The sequence below is a fragment of the Homo sapiens genome, chromosome 8, assembly GCF_000001405.40.
Source record: "Homo sapiens chromosome 8, GRCh38.p14 Primary Assembly".
NCBI classification, from domain to species: Eukaryota; Metazoa; Chordata; class Mammalia; order Primates; family Hominidae; genus Homo; species Homo sapiens.
Window position 1 is genome coordinate 69,594,143 of NC_000008.11, and position 20,043 is coordinate 69,614,185.

Below are 20,043 nucleotides of genomic sequence, written 5' to 3' on the forward strand. Positions count from 1 at the left end.
CCAGGTTCAAACCATTCTCCTGCCTCAGCCTCCTGAGTAGCTGGAATTACAGGCATGCGCCACCACGCTCGGCTAATTTTGTATTTTTAGTGGAAACGGGTTTTCTCCATGTTGTTCAGGCTGGTCTTGAACTCCTGACCTCAGGTGATCCGCCCGCCTCAGGCTCCCAAAGTGCTGGGATTACAGGCATGAGCCAGCACACCTGACCTGTTATTCCAATTTAACAGTTCTTTCTTCCCATACCTGTAAATGTGTGTGACTGTGTGTGTGTGCATGTACACTCACACACACACAAATACACAAGTTCAAGTGAAATCTAAATGCTTGGTAAAACAGTCCATGTGCACTAATTTGCAAGAGTTGTTGTGAGGGTAGAGCTTTTGAATAAACATAGGTTGTCAAAGGAAAAACTCCCTCTGTGTAAGCCACAGGACAAAGGTTTTGAAACACCTTTGTTATCTAAAGCTGGAAAGAAATGTCTTGCCTTAAAAGAATTTGCACATTCGTACCTCTTTCCACAAATACGTGAAAGGACGTGCTTTTGAAGATAAGAAAAGTTTAAATTCTACAAAAAAAAAAAATCTGATTTGGGCAGAACTCATTGCTCCCTTTTCTCTGTTTCTACCTTGTTCTTCTCTGGGTGGATCATTTACTACTTATACTGTCAGTGTTGGTGTTGCTTGTTTACTTAGATCCCTGAAGTCGAGTTGCACAACTCCAGGGGGCATTCAGATAAAATATCATGTGAATGATGCCCTGGAGTTTTGCAGGTAGCTTTGTCCTGAAGACAGGGACAAAAATGTTTCATCTCTTTACCTCCCAGTGCCTGGTGGACATGCCTTCGGACCAAGTAGTTGCACAATTCATTGTTGCTTAGCAAATGAACAAATATGTTCACCTCACTAAATAGCTGACATGAAAACATTTTAAAAATAGTATCAAGATATTTAAACAGTCGATTTTATGAATTTAAAAGACACCTAGAGATACTACAATTCCGTAGTTTTTTAGATTAAAAAACAAAGACCCAAAGTCTATATTTTTTAAAGGAAGGCCCAGATGGTTTTGTGAAGGTCATGTGAGTATTTAGGGACAAAACTAGAGCTGAAACTCAATTCTCTTGGCCCCAGGTGATCTTCTCACTCCACCAGACTTACTCAGTTCACATCACAGTCACAATTCAGATTAGAGCTATGAACAATTCTATCCATTTGCACAATTCTAACTGGTGTTTCTAACTTCATTAAAAGACTCTGAATTATTTTTCTTATATACCTCTAATCAAGATCATTTGGTATTATCCTGCATATGTTCAAATGTTACCTATCTACAGATATTTGAACTTAGGTGGGGAATATCTCCACAAAGTCCATTAAGTAAGTTCAGTTTTAGTGAAAACTGAGATGGTGCAGCTTGAGAGATTAAGTGTAGAATTTCCAATGTAATGCTTTGAATGTGTACCTTAAATCTGTATCACTGGCTTATTCTGGGAATTGAAGTCTTATTTCATTTCTCAGAGAATGATGGTTCTGCTACCAGTAATCTTTAAGGGTTAGATCATTCGGGTTTTTTGTTTGTTTGAGACTAAATAAATGAAGAAAACACATGTTAGATACAAAACACTAGAAATATATTAATTTTCACTGGAGCGACACCAAAGGCCATCGACATTAAAAATGAACTCCTAAGTTCTTTGCAATTCCCCAGGTATAGATTTAATATACAACACATGCATCTCTTGAAACTCTTTCTTTGCTAGTAAGAATTATTCTCCTGAAATACCCACCTGTCAAAAAGAAAGGTAACATTATTGATTTTTAGAATTCTTATTTCTGTCGTGTCAGTAAGCAATACCGGAAAGAAAATCAAACACTCAGGAGAATTGGCATGATGGTGAAGGTTGAGCTTACAAGTACAGTGGACTCAAGTATCCATGATCCAGCGCACTGAGCAATAAATCCAAATGAGCAGTGACCACAGGAAAACAATATGCAGGGAGGCCTCGCTGGGAAAAGCTAAACTTTTATATATGGGAATAGTCTATGGAGGATTACAGGGATGTTTTCTTGGGGGTATAAGGTCTGGAGTGTGCAGTACTGGGTGAAGCCCTTATCTAACAGGCAACAGAAAGGTCTTCCCAGGTTAGGCACACGTGACTCTACCTCCAACACAGAATTTTTTTTTTTAAGAAAGCAACAGAAATTTGCAAATGATAGTCTGGTCTTTTGTCCTCTCAATTTTAAAGCAAATAACCAGTATTGTGTTATCTACCTTTTCATGGATGCATCCAGTGTGCCTAGAAGGGCCAGACTTTATTCTGTATTTGCAACAAAAGTAGACCCAGCAACTGATGGGAAGATATCTGATTGGGAAGCAGAAGCAGCTGGTATTTTAAATCAGGATGAAAGCTAAGATTTTAGGACTCACTTTTGATAGGAAGAAAGGATATATCAATTTTCCTTTTAATGAGTGGGATTTTTGAGGTACTTTGTGGGGCCTCTGGTTCAAGACTGTGGCCAGTGTGGTGTTGTAGGAGGGGCACTGATGGAGAGCTATCCCGGTGCATTATTTCTGAGCCACCTCTGTGCACTTTACTTCCTCATTTGTAACATGGGACTAATGTGCCCTGCTGAGTCCTCAGAGTTGCTGCAACAATCAAATGAGCTATTAAGGGATAAGCTCTTTTCCAGCTACCTATGAGAATGGGTATGATATGGTCCCAGAATTTGCTCTCTAGAGCCACAGAAATCTCTTAACCCCTACAAGAACTCTTTAAAGTTGTTATCCCCATTATATAGATGAGGAAACTGAGACTTAGACAAAAAGTTGTCCAAGATCACATAATATTAAGGAACAGAGCTGGGATGAATATTTGAGTCTAATTCCAAAACATTCTGGAATAACTCAATATGTGGTTTTCCATTTCTCCCAAAAACAGGTACCTGCTTTTTTCAGTGGCTTGTGTTCCAGCTGACAGCTCCAGGGCCTGTTTGAATAATTCGAAGACAATCCTTAGTTAGGAAAGCAAGCTTTAATTATCACTGGGGAACAGAAGGCCGCATCTTCGAGGAATTTGGCAGACCTCAGCAGGGGGCAACCACAGGCCTTTGGCAAAAGATCACTTTTCAACAACATTGTCAATTCCAGTGACCCCCGACCTTCCACCTGCAGGTCCCTGAACAGCTGCTGTTCTGTGGGAAGCAGTGGCAGTCTGTCTTCCTTTAAAAGGCACATGCACACTCTGTCCCTGCTGCCTGCTGAGATCCCACCTGGGACCTCATCCCCAGAGCTGGGGGTCATCTCCCATATCAAGAAATTAAGAAAAATAAGGGGGGGCAGGAAAGGACAGCTTTGACAACAGTCCCTGAACTTTCCCTTTTAATATAAGCCAGATTTAACGTATGTCATTCTGTAAATCCGGGAGTCCAATTTGAGGCTTGTAATTTGCTGCAAGCTTCCCTGTTCCTCCAAGTGGGGTGGAGCTATGCCAAGCACATCAAGGTAACTGGTGGAAGATATAATTTCCCCACTGTGAGCCTGCATTTCAGTTCCCTATTGTAATTTTTATTTGTGTTGAGGTTTTGTGGTTTTAAAAAAGTCAACCAGATTTATTTTTAAATTAACCCAGCCCAACATCAAAGGCAATAAGTAGAGGATGTTTAGGTATTATAAAGAAACCCTGTGTAATCTGTTATAGCTGTATTCTTTCTCAGGGCATGTAATGGTAAATGGTTAGGGGCCTTTCACAACCAACTTTCTATATTTCTCTGACCTCGGACTACCCTCATGGGCAAAAAACCCTTTTTGAGGGGATTTAGTAGCCCCTCTCTCCTCCTCCTCAACCTCTTAATCTAATCCTGTTTGTAACGCAACATGCTGCATGAAGAATACGAAACATGGGCTTAAGTCCCTCCCCACTTCCCTTATGACTGTGGTTTACTTTTAGATATGAAGAACTCTTTCAGGCCAAAAAAAAAAAAAGGGGGGGACCATTTGGTTAACGAACCATTTTCTTTGGTAGGCAGGAGAAAGTTTATATTGAAAGTTTATCTTAAGGATGACAGGTCATACCTGAAGGGTTTGTTTTGGAATACTGTGGATTTTTTCTAACCCAAATAATTACAAGAGAGTTCCTTGTTTATTGGCTCATGGAGGAAATTCAAGCGCCTCTGTTCTAGGCATTTTAAGTGCTCTGTATATATGGTGGTTGTTCCTCAAAACAGCTTTGGGTTTGTTTTTTGTTTTTTGTTGTTAGTGGTGGTTTTTTGAGATAGAGTCTCGCTCTGTTACCCAGGCTGGAGTGCAGTGGCGCAATCTCGGCTCACTGCACCCTCCACCTCTCTGGTTCAAAAGATTCTCCTGCCTCAGCCTCCTGAGTAGCTGGGATTACAGGCGCCCGCCACCATGCCCAGCTAATTTTTGTATTTTTAGTAGAGACGGGGTTTCCCCATGTTGGCCAGGCTGGTCTCGAACTCCTGACCTCAGGTGATTCACCCGCCTGGGCCTTCCAAAATGCTGGGATTACAGGCGTGAGCCACCATGGCTGGCCCAAAACAGCTTTTTAAGAAAAGTGCTATTAACCCCATTTACAGATGAGCACATTTGAGCCACACCCTCTTTTCCACACTCTAAATCTTGTCTCTTTCTTTAAACATGAGTTACTTATACTTCTGAGCATAACTGAGGCACTTTTAGAGACAGTGTCTTCTAAGCTCAATGTGATATTATTTGTGCTGCTGTGCTGCTACTGGGTAACCAGCACCCATCCTGGTCACCAGGGTAACTTTGTCAACCAAGAAGGCCAAGGATCCCAAACCAGCATTTTCTACTATCAAAAGAGAGGTTCTGCAAATCCACTGGCAGGAGAGAAAATATAATAGCAGGTGGCATTTATATGACCCAGTGTGCATGGCAGTGTCCCAGGGTATCACCGTGAATCTCAGAAACTCCAGGCTTTCCCCATGGGAAATCCACACCACCACAGATCCAGTGGAGGACTCGGTCAAGACTCCTGAAATCAAAGAACTCACAGTGACTGATTCTTTCCCTAGTTTTATAATATAAATAATGGCATGGGGTCACATTCAGCCGTCATTATCCACATCATTTCACTGATGGGATCCTCCTCAGACAGAGATTGGGAATCAGATTTCTCGGTCACATAAACTGTTGCTCATTCTGTGAGGCTGCCTATTTGTAAAGTTGTGGTTCTTATTAAAAGCAATCTCAGACGTAGCAAGCACCCCTCACTTCCCTTCTCATTCATTTTGTTAAAGCAAATGGGCTTTGGAATTCAGGCCTGTTTCTACCACTTACTAATGTTGTTAATTTGGAGGAGTTCCTCAACTTTGCCAAGGCTTGATTTTCTCTGCTGTAAAGAGGGAATAATAAACCTATTTTACAGAGCAGCTGAGACAATTAGGTGAGTTAATGTATATAAAATGGTTTGCATAATACCCAACACATATTAAACTCTCACTCGGTTTTTAATATTAACCTCTATGTGCTTAATAACATTGAAGAAGAAGATTCAAGTAGATTATAGTCTGTTAAAGAGTTCAAATATAAATAAATAATTCTCAGGGTGAGAATTGCCATAGCATAGATATGTTACGTACCCATGGCAGAGCGTGAGGTGGCAGCATCTAATGGTTGAGGGAGTTGGGTGAGACATCAAGAGAAGGTGACATATTTTTTTGAGTACCCAGTGGAAGGCATGGGATACCATGTGGATCTCTGCAGTAGATTAAATATAGACTTGAACTAACCTATCCTGGAACAATAGGACAATATCCTTGTGGCTTACAGAAATTATTCCCTGCACCTATATTGATTTGTTTATTAAACGAATAGCTTTATTGGTAAACATGTATATTGCGGAAGTAGACTTGGTTATCATTCCCACAAGTCCAGTTAAAGTAATGGCATCTATATAAAAAACTCATAAAAACTAGATATGTAAGTAATCAATAAAATACTCTTCTCAAGTATTCAGGAGAAAAAATGTGTTGAAATGATGATTCATCATTCCACATAACGTATTTGTGACTACATTTAATAGCCTCATTAGCAATAAAATTTTTATGAGTTAACATCATATGAGGATATTCCCTTGTACCTTACCGAGACTTTATCTGTAGATTTGTAACATAACCATAATCATCTTGGTATGTTTCTTACACATTTTATTCAGTGAACCCAAATGAACTTCTAATTACATGTTCAGCTGCCAGTCATGGTTTTATATGTTTGAATATATATACCTTCAGAGGATATTTGCTCTTTGGGGTGGTGAAGACTTCATCTTCTTATAAATGCAAACAGAAGATAGTTGGAAGAGGAAAATGTTTTAGCAGTGTCTCAATTATCTCTCCTTAATGATTATTTCACAACCTCGAGATATTTTCCTAAAAGACTAAGTAAGAAATATATAGTAAGATTCCTTTCTGGATATTTTCAGAACTCCTAGTTATAACTATGCACCAAATATGGATAAACACTGGATTATGCAGTACACAGGACCAATGCTGCCCATCCACATGGAATTTACAAACATTCTACAGCGCAAAAGGCTCCAGACTTTGATGTCAGTGGATGATTCTGTGGAGAGGGTAAGCACATGAACCTACCTCAGTGATAGTTTTTGGCCCAGCTTCCTTTGTGTAGACTTATTCTTGCCAATCCTGTTTGGTTTTTTCCCCTTCATTTTCCAGCATCATTTTGAGAGAGAAAGAAAGAGAGAGAGTATGTGTTTAGTGGCTTAATCATCCCTCCCTTATCTTGTCCTCATTCCATCTACCTCTCCAGGGTTGGTTTCTTATGGAGCCAGTAAAAAAGAGGAGAGAAAAATCAAATCAGCGTAGATCAGGGGCCACATCCTCAAAGGCAATAAAGAATTGATGGAGCTTGTGCTGAACTTGAACTTTAAGTTAAGGGCCCCATCTAAAGGAACAGCAATTACTCAGCTCCAGCTAAATTTTGCCATGTAGAAATGTGGATCAAGTATCAGCAGGTCTTCTGACTTTTTTAAAGAAGCCAGAAACACAAAAAATTTTATTTGAAATTTTCTGAACTTTGAAACATAGTATAAGCCAAACAAGACGTGCCTCAGGCTGGATTTAACTGGATCAGGCTCAGAAGCAGCCTGTTTTTAACCCTTGGTAATTAGATATGTGATGATAATTTTAACAATGGATTTTCAAAGTACAACCTATAAAGTTTGATGGTAGAGGTTGTTGTGCGGGGTGTTTTTGTTTTTGTTCTACCAAACAAGCAAACAAAAAGCCTAAAAGTAGAATGTGCTAGATTCCAAAAAGTTACATTTCACCTTTACCATTGGACCTTTCCCTCCCAGACTGTAAGCAAATAGAAAATGTGGATAATGTTATTAAAGCAACTCTTGCCTTTTAAAAATAACAGGAAAAAGATTTGGGGGCAATCGTGGCAACACTATTGAGCATCATCTTATACCAGCACAATTGATTCTGACTTGTTCCTTTGCTGTATTTCAGCTGTATAACATGCTCGTGGAGACGGGGGAGCTGGAGAATACTTACATCATTTACACCGCCGACCATGGTTACCATATTGGGCAGTTTGGACTGGTCAAGGGGAAATCCATGCCATATGACTTTGATATTCGTGTGCCTTTTTTTATTCGTGGTCCAAGTGTAGAACCAGGATCAATGTACGTATTTCTCTGTTTGCAACATTCAACTGTCGTACCTCAAGTGTGTCTAAGATAATTCAATTACCAGTCTCAGTATCTGGTTTCCTTTCATCCAAAACAAAAAAGGATGTGTGTAGGCTGGTTAATTTCGAAGATGAAAACCTTTTCCTCCCTGCCACATCTTAAATTAGCTCAAGTATACTACTTAAAGAGAAAGGAAAAATAAGTGTATCAATGACTAATTCTCTCAAATTGACTGGAATCTATGTCTTTTTGGTCTGTGTGCACAGACAGGATGTGATCTTCTGGGATATCACCCTTCTTTGAATCAGAGATACGCTGTCATTTAAAAAAAAAACCTGACACCATCCTTTTAGTGTTTAACTTTTAAAAATTATTCCGAAAGAAATGTTTTTAAAAGATAAATTTTGAAAAGCTGGCTTTTCTTTTAAAGGAAAAAGAGCTAAAGGACTAGGCTGCTATTTCTGTCACTGTAGGCAGGTCACTGCTTCTCTTTGCATCTCTATTTTCCCATCATGAAATGGCCTTGCCTATTTTCCCATCATAAAATGGCCTTGTCAATCATCTCAGGATGTTTTGAATAAAATGGGATTGCATCCATGAAAGAATTATGGAAAGACTAAAAGAAAAAGTGGAAGTAGAATCCAGAAGCTGGAATGGCCCTTGAAAAGCATCTAGCCTGGACCCCTGATGTAACAGTGAAGCTAGGCAGACAGCGTCAGTGCCCCTCTCAGATCCCTGATTCTGGAAGTGGTGGCAGTGGGGCCCAGAGCCCAGATGTTCTGAATCTCCCCCGAGTACCACATGTGCTGCTGCATCATACTACATCCTGGAGAGAGGGCAATTGAAGTAAGAAAGGTTTCTTTGAAGAATGTTATTGTGCTTCCTAAGATTATTAGAAACACCCTGAGAATTGTCAGATCTATATCTAGAAGGCTTTATGTTTTAAGGACTAGATAGCATAGATTGAATTCAACTGTAAAAACTGTACATCCTTTTTTAAAATATTGATTTTAAAGCTCTTGTTCAACGGAAAAGTTATGGACTATTGGGTTTTAAGCAAAAGTATGCTTGCTGCAAAAACCATGTATCAGGCTGCATCTTGCCTGGTGATGTGGTCAGAATACAGGGGTGCAGGCATCTCTCCAGCCTGACCCTGGCAAGAGTCAGTTAATCTTGCTCAGTGCCATTGCTGTGATCACACACCCACCCTTGCCACACAACTACCCATGCCTAGGAGACCAGATGAGAGGGTGAGAAGAGTTGAAGGCCAATGAGTCACTGCTGTAGAAAAAGCAGCCCTAAGTGCCACCTTCCCCTGGCATTGGATCTCAGCCATCACCGTGTGCCCCTTTACAGAGTCCCACAGATCGTTCTCAACATTGACTTGGCCCCCACGATCCTGGATATTGCTGGGCTCGACACACCTCCTGATGTGGACGGCAAGTCTGTCCTCAAACTTCTGGACCCAGAAAAGCCAGGTAACAGGTGTGTCATTGTTCCTCCTCTCAGCCAGCCCCAAATACACTGAGCTCCAGCTGGTGCCCAGAGCCAGCCAGCAGCTGAAGACATGGAGGCAGAATATGCCTTGCCCACAAGGATCACCCCAAGCTGAGCATTTCTCAGCTGCTTGTGAATAGCATATTGATGGAGATGCACTCATGGTCTGTGGGAAGTGAGAGGTGTTTCTTTAAATAAGCTGTTAGCACAGATCCATTTGGAAAAACGTCCAGATGCCAAAAGTAAATATTATCATTTTGCTTTCAGGTTTCGAACAAACAAGAAGGCCAAAATTTGGCGTGATACATTCCTAGTGGAAAGAGGGTAATTATTGGTTCCTGGGGTGCTTCTGGGAACCAGTCCTAGTGGGCAGCTTTCCCTGCTGAGTATTTTTTTTCTCCTTATTTTTGTTTACTAAGCATGCAGATTTCGTAAACCTAGTCACAAGATTGAATGGTTTGCTGCTTATTCTGTAGTGGTCAATAGAGTAATAATTGCTGGATCAGAATTGTAAAGAATAACCCTCAAGTTGGTTAATTGGTACAAAAACACAGTTAGATAGAAGTTATAGAATTTGATAGTATAGTTGGGACATTATCGTTAACAATAATTTATGTATATCTTAAAATAGCTAGAAGTGAAGAATTGCAAAGTTCCCAACACAAGGAAAAGATAAATGAGATGATGAATATCCCAATTATCTTGATTTGATCATTACACATTGTAGACTGGTATCCATATATCACACGTACCCCCAAAATATGTATAATTGTGATATATCAATTTTTAAAATACCAAAAAAGCAAGAGAATGACGACTCCACATCCCCCAAAAAGAATAAATTCTCATAAGCTTGGACCAAAGCCTTTATCATGGGTGTAGATTTACTGTTGCATTTCTCAGTGCTGGTTTCTAATCAGACCAGTGGATTGAGTTTCTCTACCATCCTCCCCACGTTCTTCTCTAAGCTGCCTCCAAGCCTCACCCGGCACCCTTCTTCCTACTTCCTACTTCTTTTCCTTGTGTGCCTTTCCTAGTTTTAAATAGATAAATGTATGCCATTGTAATTATTTCCATTGTCACTTCTGGGTTTCCCCTTTTGGTTCATTAATACCCATTGCCTTGTTTTTCTCTGTACATAAATTAGGAGAGAGAAAATATTTGTATAATTTTTTTAACAAAAGGAACTTTGAGCATGTAAAATGAAACATGTATGCCCAAATTTTGAAATTAATGCTTTTGGGAAGAACGAATCTTTTCCTGACCTCTCATCTTCATCCTACCCAGTTTGTCATTTTCATAAAGGACCCATCAAATGTTGAACTCCTGTAGACAGAGCTTTAACATCTATTTCTTGCTGTTTAAAGAATGTGGAGTCATGTGACAGGGTAAAAAAAAAAAGGGGGCAGGACTCAGGGACCGTAATTCAGATCACTTCTCATGTACGAAGCTTTTCCCTTTTTGTCGAAGCAAATTTCTACGTAAGAAGGAAGAATCCAGCAAGAATATCCAACAGTCAAATCACTTGCCCAAATATGAACGGGTCAAAGAACTATGCCAGCAGGCCAGGTACCAGACAGCCTGTGAACAACCGGGGCAGGTGAGTGACGCAGGCTTTCTTTACCACCACTCATGTGCTTCTCCATCTCTAATTTAGAAAATTGTCCACATATAAAAGAATGTACATTTGTGTATAAATAAGCTTTTCCTAGTGGCCTTGAGGGCAAGCTCACTGAGACACCTCTCCGCGGACAGAATTACGTAACTGGTTCAGGCTGGGCCTCCCCATTACTACTTGGGCTCCCTCCAGTTAAAAAAGATGATGATCTCAGAGAAAGTTCTATGCCAAAAGACACTGGTTTCCTCTGAGGAGAAGATTCCTGTTATAGTCCCTGTTAACTAGTCACTGAAGAGTTGCCAAAAGGCTACTTAGTCAAAGCACAGGTACGTGCTGAGCCTCTTGGCAGTGAACCACCCCAAGAGACATGATAGGGCCTTCACCCTAGGCTAAAGTCAGAATGTCATCTTACCCCCAGTAGAGGACAGAGCCTGTGACCAAGCTTGAGGAATGAGAAGAGAAACCATATTCTGTTTGTTTATTGTTCCTACTTCTGCTCACAAAGATTCTGGCATCAAATATTTCATTAGAATAGATCCTCTTCGTTAGTAGAAATATTACTATAGACCCCAGAGCTACCCAGAATACCAGTTATTATCAGTAAGAATAAAAGAAATACTGTGTGATGAATTAACATTGCTTTTAAAGAAAGTGAGTACGTATGAATTTAAACCAGTTTAAAACCATTGATTTTAAATGCCCTTGATTGAAATGTATGCTAGCTAAAAGAAAATGCTGTGTCATGACAAGAGGAACTGAACTTTGGCCCAAATCATTGCAGCTGAGAACAAAATCAGAGGAAAGTGAAAAATACTAACACATAGTGAGCATTTGTCTTACATCAGGCACAGTACGCAGGATTTTGTAGCATTTACTCAATTTAATCCTCACAACTGTAGAGTGAGGTGGGCATTGGCATCTCCATTTTACAAATGGGCAGCTGGGATTCAAACAGGAGTTGTCTGATTCAATAACTCAGGCCACTTGCTGCCTTCCAAGGTAAGTTACAATAACCAGGTGAAGAGAAGTTCAAATCTGTGAGTCTTTTTTAACTTAACTGACCTCTAGATATCCACACAATTCACCAACACCAGTTCAAGATGTCAGGCTCATGGAATGAGTAGGTAACAAAGTTATTATTAAAATGGCCTCACTCATTATACGCTTATTATATGGTATCTAGCTTGTTGAATAGACATTCCTAATAAACAACTTGATCCTTATACCCTGCATTTCCTCATGCTTTCTTGTACACAGGATCCCTTTGAAATAGAAGAGGATAGGGAGGGAGAGCTGTTGAAGGAAGGGCTAAAACTAAGCCTTCACTACATTCTAGTACATCTTAATTTTCAAGTGTTTAGTGGAGAAAAGCTGAGACCTATTCATTATATTTTAATTTGAAGTCTTCAAATCTTTCTTATGAAACCTCCAAATATTATTATGAATAAAACCTCAGAATTGTTTTGTAGCTCTAAGATGATTTTTATGAGCTAGCCTCAATAGACTAATTTACTTTTATTCAGGAGTTGCAAATGTTCAGTGTTAAATATATCTCATGCAAATTGGTGATCTTGTTACTCTTTTAGCTCTAAGAGGTGAACATTATAGCCTTTTGGGAATAAGGTACACTGCCTACATTTCAGTGTGTAATTTTACAAACCTCTCCATATGGCTTGCCCTAAAATTTTAATATATGTCCTAAAGGGCAAATGTAGCATAAACCAGATTATGGTACTTTGGCACAAGCTTTTCACTCACGAGCTGAATGCTAACTAAGTTACAAACTTAATTTTGCTTTTTCATATTTTTTGAACTTGTTTTGGCCCCATGAAATGCTTTCATATCTGGAATTTTCTTCCACTGTTTCATTTCGCTGTGAATCAGTCTGAATTTAGATCCATTATGTGGATATATGAGAACGTCAGCAATGGTCTCTTTTAGAAAGGCCTGAATTCGTGGAACAAAGAATTAGGCTATGCCCTGATGGTGATTTCTTTCTATAGAATTTCTTTATATTGGGCCTGAGTGAGCTTTAGAAGTGAAGACCTGGAGAGTATTTCAGATTGTCTCTAGCTTCAGTGTATCCACAGCACTAGTGAATTGTTACTCTAATCCCGAACCAGCAGGATCAGCATCCCTGAGAGTTTGTCAGAAATGCAAATTCTCTGGCTATTGCAGACCTTCTGAATCAGAACCCCTAGGGGTGAAGCCCAGCAATCTGTGTGTTAACAAGTCCTCCAGGTGACTCTGATGCTCCCTAAAGTTTGAGAAGCACTATTCTAACCCACGATTGTGTTTACTGGTGGCCCTCAAACCATAGCTTAGGAATCTAAGAACTTCAAGAAAATTTTGAGCCTTAATCTTTAAAGCAGTTATTGAATCTGTGGGTCAAACCTGATAGCTGTGTTGTGTGTTGTTGTTTTGTTTTCTTTGGGACAGGGTTTTACTCTGTCACCCAGGCTGGAGTGCAGTGGCGTGATCATGGCCCACTGCAGCCTCGCCCTCCTGGGCTCAGGTTATCCTCCTACCTCAGCCTCCTGAGTAGCTAGGACTACAGGCACACACCACCATGCTCGACTAATTTTTGTGCTTTTTTAGAGATGGGGTTTTGCCATGTTGCCCAGGCTGATCTGGAACTCCAGGACTCAAGTGATCCACCCACCTTGACCTCCCAAAGTGCTGGGATTACAGGAGCGAGCCTCCATGCCCAGGCAGCTCTGTTGTGTTCTATCGACTTTTTATATCTTGGCCTTTTGCTCTTTCTTTCTGGCTACTTTGAAGATTATCTGTTTTTGGCGACAGTATCCCTGACTTTAAAAAAGGAAGAAGAAAATTCAGAATAATGACACTGAATTGTTCAGGTTCGAGGTGGCAGCGGAGGCTAGAACTGACCTGCTTGGAATCTGCTCTCTCTCGATGTCCCTCCTGACATGCGCCCTGCTTCCGTTCCTCTTAACAAGGTGAATGGCCTTCATTCCAAGGCAACACAGTCAGGTTTTGACACTCCATGGGGAACAAAGGGAAAATCAGCATGACTAGCCCCATTCTCTTCACTCTTAATCCCAGAGATAGTGAATGCCCCCCTCCTACCACATCTTTGTGCCAGGTCACCTAAAGGTTGTTTGGTGGAGTCAATGTGGGTGCATGAGGTAAGTCAACAGAGAAAAGAGATCCAAAGGTTGGGGTTAGAATATTGGCCGCCACCACTTTCTAGTTGTGTCTTCTCAAATAGGTCACTTACTTTCTCCTGAGTCTCAGGTTTTCTATCTCTAAAATAGAGAAAATTAACCTCACCCTTGTGAGGATTAAGTGATATTATACATGTAATGTACTAAAGTGAGACTGAGATTTTCTCTAGTGTGCGAATATTGGGTGTTATTATTATTCCAAGCCATCTTACCTGCTGTTTTCATTCCTATGAAGCCAATTAGAATTAAAATGGGCTGAGGCCGGGCACGGTGGCTGATGCCTATAATCCCAACACTTTGGGAGCCCGAGGCGGGCAGATCATCTGAGGTCAGGAGTTTCAGACCAGCCTGGCCGACATAGTCATAGTGAAACCCCATCTCTACTAAAAATACAAAATTAGCCAGGCGTGGTGGTGGGCACCTGTAATTCCAGCTACTTGGGAGGCTGAGACCGGGGAATCACTTGAACCCAGGAGGCAGAGGTTGCAGTGAGTCAAGATTTTACCATTGCACTCCAGCCTGGGCAAAAAGGGCGAAACTCCATCTCAAAATAAATAAATAAATATAAAAAGAATAAAAATGGGCTGGAATCCCAGAGACTTGGCATCACTTCTTGACTATGTGAACACAACAACCAGCGGGGACTAATTAAGACAACATGGACATATGTGTTTGCATTACTTCCACGTTCCTGAATTAATATGAGATGGAGTGTGAATTCCCACCACTCTCTCAGCTGGGCGTTACACCCCCGGACACGTTTATGTACAGACACTCCCCATCCCCCTACACCATCACACACATGCACATGTGCATACTGAGGGGCAAATCTCGACCTCTTTCTTAAAGCATGTTTGTTCCACAGAGAACAAAGAGCAGTGATGCTCAATGCTGGCGGCACATTAAACTCACCTGGGGCCGAGCACGGCAGCTTATGGCTTACTCCCATAATCCCAGCACTTTGGGAGGCTGAGGCAGGAGTTCTAAATCCCCTAAGCCCAGGAGTTCTAGACCAGTCTAGGCAACCTAGGGAGACGCCGTCTCCACGCACAAACAAAATAGCCAGGCGTGGTGGTGTGTGCCTGCAGTACCAGCTACTCAGGAGGCTGAGGTGAGGGAATCGCTTGAGCCTAGGAAGTCGAGGCTGCAGTGAGCCGTGATCGTGCCACTGCACCCCAGCCTGGGCGACTGAGTGAGACCCTGTCTCAGAAAAACAAAACTAAAATAACAGAAAATAAAAAATAAACTCACCTGGGTGGCACTTGAAAAATGCTGATGCACCCCCCAGACCAACCAGGTTAAAAATGTCTGGAAGTGAGGCCAAGGAATCTGTATTTTTTAACGAGGTTAAGAATCACAGGCCTAGAACCAGAGAATATCAAAGTTTGAAGGAATCTTAGAAATCTTCTAAGTTGAATGGTATCATTTTTCTGATAAGGAAATTTAGGTCCAGAAAAGTTAAGCTACAAACCCAAAGCCAAAACCTGCATCTCTTCACTTCACGTTGAGTACTTTCTTCCCTGTAACATGCTGCCACTGCAAAATTGCAAGACAGATTTTCCCTTTGAAACTATGAATGGCAATCACCACTCACGGTGGTTCTCAACCCTGACTGCACGTTAGAATCATATGGGCAGCTTTAGAGATGCTTATGTTTAAGTCCCAGCCCAGGCAAGTTAAATCAGAACCTCTGGGTATGAGACCCAGGTACCAGTGTTTTTTCCAAGCTCCCCTGATGATTCCTACGTGCAGACAAGCTTGAGATCCACAAATGTCAAGTGAGCATTAATGGGTTGGTTTTTCTTCTTCTTCTAGGCATAGGTATTGACGTCTTAAATAGGAGCTACATAAAAGAGAAATTCCCTGGGCATCCAATTTTGAAATACACTTTACATATTATCTGGCATTTAAGTGGAAAAAAGCAGCCTGCTTTGTTTTGATAGGGCAAATATCACATCCTTTTGATGAGTTGTTGAATTCCAGCATCTTTACAATTTAGTTTGCCTTTCTACTATTGGATCAATATAAAATCAAACATTTGTTTAAAAATCTGTGAGGACCCCTGCATCAAGCAAGCTGATGCTATTATAACGGAAATAGAATGTAGTTTGTTGAGTGGAAACTGGTTTAGCTCCAGGATGGATCTTTGTTCCTATACAAAACTTATCTCTCTGGCCGTATATCCTTCTGACCCTTTGTGACCAGCAGCAGAGCATGAATAATAAGACATTTACCATGGAGATCCTCCTAGAATTGTTAGTTTTCCAGAAGCAGACAAACCTGTTTCCCAAAACTCACTGAACTCTGGTCAAAATGGCAGCATGGCTCATAGACATCTTCCCCTGGCTAACCTGATTCCAGAGGGCACATCCAGAAGGATTGAGCTCCCAGTGCCATCCTTTTACTGAATTCTCCTCTGTGCATGGGTCCATTGTGGACCACTCAGCCTTTAAACCTTGCTTCCTTCCCTCTTCAACCCATGCTGAAGCTCATGTATGAACAGTTGTTCATCTAATTAAATCTTTGACTTCTGTGCATTTGTTCTAAACAAGTCAAAAAAAGACAAACATGAGAATAGGCATTTTACTCATAAACTGTATAATACAGCCCCATTCTGCTTAATTTGTACTGTGTCTTCTTTTCCACCATTTCCTAACAGCCCATCCTAATCAGGTCCTCCTCTATGTTTCTTAAATGTTACATGTGAATCCCACTTTCTCACTTGCATGGAGGTTGTTACTTCTCTCTTCTCACCTAAGGCTCAGGTCCTCCTCTATGTTTCTTAAATGTTACATGTGAATCCCACTTTCTCACTTGCATGGATGTTGTTACTTCTCTCTTCTCACCTAAGGCTCACCTGAAGACTCATACTGCCTTCGTACCATTCTCCTTTTCATCAGTATCCTGATCAAGGTGCTTTGGGATTACATCCTGGATATACTGCTTTCTTGGCATTTGCCTATGTGCAAGTTTCTTAACCTAACTCTGCCTCAGTTTCTTCATCTGTAAAATGGGCATCATATAGTTCTTGCCTCATAGGCTGTGGTAAATGTTATATGAATTAAATGTATCAAGCATCTGGGACAATGTCTAGGACATAGAAAGCACTCAACAAATGCTGGTTGTCAATCATTGGCCAAGATCAGTTTACCAATTTCATTTTCTAGGAATTACAATAATCATACATCTTCCAACATTCCAGTGTTGACTTTTACAAGGGATTATCTAGATTAAAATCTATAACAGGTAACATTTCTCTCTCTTCTGCTTCTCCTTTTCTGTTTTCCGTCCCCCTCTCTTTCCCATCTCACACCATCTCAAAGAAAACAGGCCAGGAGATAAATCCTCCTGGCACAAGTAACACTAATTCATATTTGTGAGAGAAAATTTGACAATGACTTGAGCTAAGTAGCAGTTTGGACAAAGATGTGAATATGGTCTTTGTATATTCCCCAGTGTTAAGATAAATATTTTAAACACATGTCCACATGCAGGTAACTTTTTTATGATGTTCATGTTGGCATGAATAATAATCAGTTTATCACAAAATTACTATACAGTTGTGACATTTCAGAGAACATGATTTGACCTGCATTATGGCCAAATCCATGTCATAAGACATATGGTAACCAAGAACTAGTGTGTGTTTATGTATAAAATTAAGCTTTCACTGCAGTGCACCTTTGAAAAAGTTGTACACAATTTTTTTAATTTTTCTTTTTATTTCAATAGTTTTCGGGATACAAGTGGTTTTTGGTTACATAGATAAATTCTTTAGTTAGATTTCTGAGATTTTAGTGCACCCATCACCCAAGCAGTGTATACTATACCCAGTTTGTAGTCTTTTATCCCTCACCTGCTTCCCAACCTTCCCCTCCAAGTCCCCAAAGTTTATTATATCATTCTTATGCCTTTGCGTCCTCATAGCTTAGCTCCCACTTGTAAGTGAGAAAATAAAATATTTGGTTTTCCATTCCTGAGTTACTTCACTTAGAATAGTGGTCTCCAGCTCCATCCAAGTTGCTGCAAAATACACATTATTTTGTTCCTTTTTATGCCTGAGTAGTGTTCCATGGTGTATATATACCACATTTTCTTTATGCACTTGTTGGTTGATGGGCATTTAGGCTGGGTTCCATATTTTTGTAATTGCTAATTGTGCTGCTATAAACATGCCTATGCATGTGTCCTTTTCATATAATGACTTCTTTTCTTTTGGGTAGATACCCAGTAGTAGGATTGCTGGATCGAATGGCGGTTCCATTCTTAGTTCTTTAAGGAAACTCCATACTGTTTTCTGTAATGGTTGCACTAATTTACATTCTCACCAGCAGTGCAAAAGTGTTCCTTTTTGCCACATTCACGCCAACATCTATTGTTTTGTTTTGACTTTTTATTATAGCCATGCTTGCAGGAATAAGGTGGTATCTCATTGTGGTTTTAATTTGCATTTCCTTGATGAGTAGTGATGTTGAGTATTTTTTCATGCTTGTTGGCTGTTTGTGTATCTTCTTTTGAGAATTGTCTATTCATTTCTTTACCCTACATTTTGATAGAATTATTGGCTTTTTTCTTGCTGATTTGGTTGAGTTCCTTTGTAGATTCTGGATATTAGTCCTTTGTTGGATGCATAGTTTGCAAATATTTTCTCCCACTCTGTGGGTTGTCTGTTTACTCTGCTGATTATTTCTTTTGCTGCGCAGAAGGTTTTTAGTTTAATTAGGTCTCATTCATTTATGTTTGGGTTTTTTTATATTTGCTTTTGGGGTCTTAGTTATGAGTTCTTTGCCTAAGCCAATGTCTAGAAGAGTTTTTCCAATGTTATCTTCTCAAATTTTTATAGTTTTGGGTCTTAGATTTAAGTCTTTGATCCATCTTGAGTTGATTTTTGTGTAACGTGAGAGATAGGAATCCAGTTTCATTCTTCTACATGTGGCTTGCCAGTTTTCCCAGCACCATTTATTGAATAGGGTGTCCTTACCCCAATTTATGTTTTTGTTAACTTTGTCCAAGATCAGTTGGTGGTAAGTATTTGGCTTTATTTCTGGGTTCTCTATTCTGTTCCATTCTATGTGCCTGTTTTTATGCCAGTACCATGCTGTTTTGGTAATTACAGGCTTGTAGTATAATTAGAAGTCAGGTAATGTGATGCCTACAGATTTGGTTTTTTTTTTTTTTTTGCTTAATATTGTTTTGGTGTAGCCAATTTTTGGGTTTTTTTTTTTTGTTTCTTACTCATGAAAATGGACACAAGTAGGCATAAGTAAGAACAGAGAACAACATCCTTAACCAATCTGAGAAATATTTGCAATTCAAAATGCAGAAATTATAATGATTACTTAGTGGATACTTCAGGAAGGAAAAGCAACCAGAGGTCATCTAATATTGCACTAAGTATTTTACATGGAAAACTGTTCTATGAGATACATATTATGCCCATTTTAGATATGAAGAGACTGAAACTCAGATGGGAAAATAACTTGACCAAAGTCACACAGCTAGAAGAATGACAAACCTGAGTTCAAACCAAGATCTGGGTGACTCAAAGCTTCTGTCTCTCTCACTAAATAATAATTATTTTGTACAGTTTACCACCAGAAAACATTAGCTTGCCCAGGATTGGATAAACTTTTTAAAGGCCAATTATAGTACTGCTCTAGGTTCATATAGTACATCTTTTCCTTAGAACTTCAAAACACTCAAACAATCTATTCTCATGACTATCCATGAAGCCAGGAGGAGCAAGTATTATTTTATCGGATGTGGAATCCAGAAGAACAAAGAGATTCTGCAATTTGCTCAAAGCCATAGAGTTAGCAGCAAAAAAAAAAAAATAATAAAATTAAGGTCTTTGAATCCCAACCCAATACTCATCTCCATTAAAAATGGCTACCTCTTATCAAATACACATTAGATCACATTCTTTAAGTAATAAACCATGTGTGGGTGTATGTATGTAATAATAATAATAATAGCAGCTGCTTTTGTTGAGTGCCTGCCATGTGCTGAGTTCTTACCGTGTGTTATCGCTAATGCTCATAACTCTG

At 40.0% G+C, this 20,043-nt stretch overlaps 1 protein-coding gene across 36 annotated transcripts in view; it reads left to right on the forward strand.

The window, feature by feature from the left end:
- The window catches only part of SULF1 (sulfatase 1), a 194,132-nt gene that overhangs the window by 127,362 nt on the left and 46,727 nt on the right, over window positions 1-20,043 (forward strand). For 25 of the 36 annotated variants that reach the window (NR_182051.1, NR_182050.1, NR_156415.2 and 22 more), the window contains 5 exons: window positions 6,461-6,611; window positions 7,512-7,687; window positions 9,050-9,178; window positions 9,458-9,514; window positions 10,661-10,790. Coding sequence is in view for 28 of the 36 variants with exons in the window: in NM_001412835.1 (NP_001399764.1) it covers window positions 6,461-6,611; window positions 7,512-7,687; window positions 9,050-9,178; window positions 9,458-9,514; window positions 10,661-10,790 (643 nt within the window). In the remaining 8 variants the exon portion in view is untranslated. Of the gene's footprint in view, window positions 1-6,460; window positions 6,612-7,511; window positions 7,688-9,049; window positions 9,179-9,457; window positions 10,054-10,660; window positions 10,791-20,043 lie in introns of those variants that run through there. The other 11 variants (NM_001412839.1, NM_001412838.1, NM_001412832.1 and 8 more) reach the window with 5 other exon arrangements.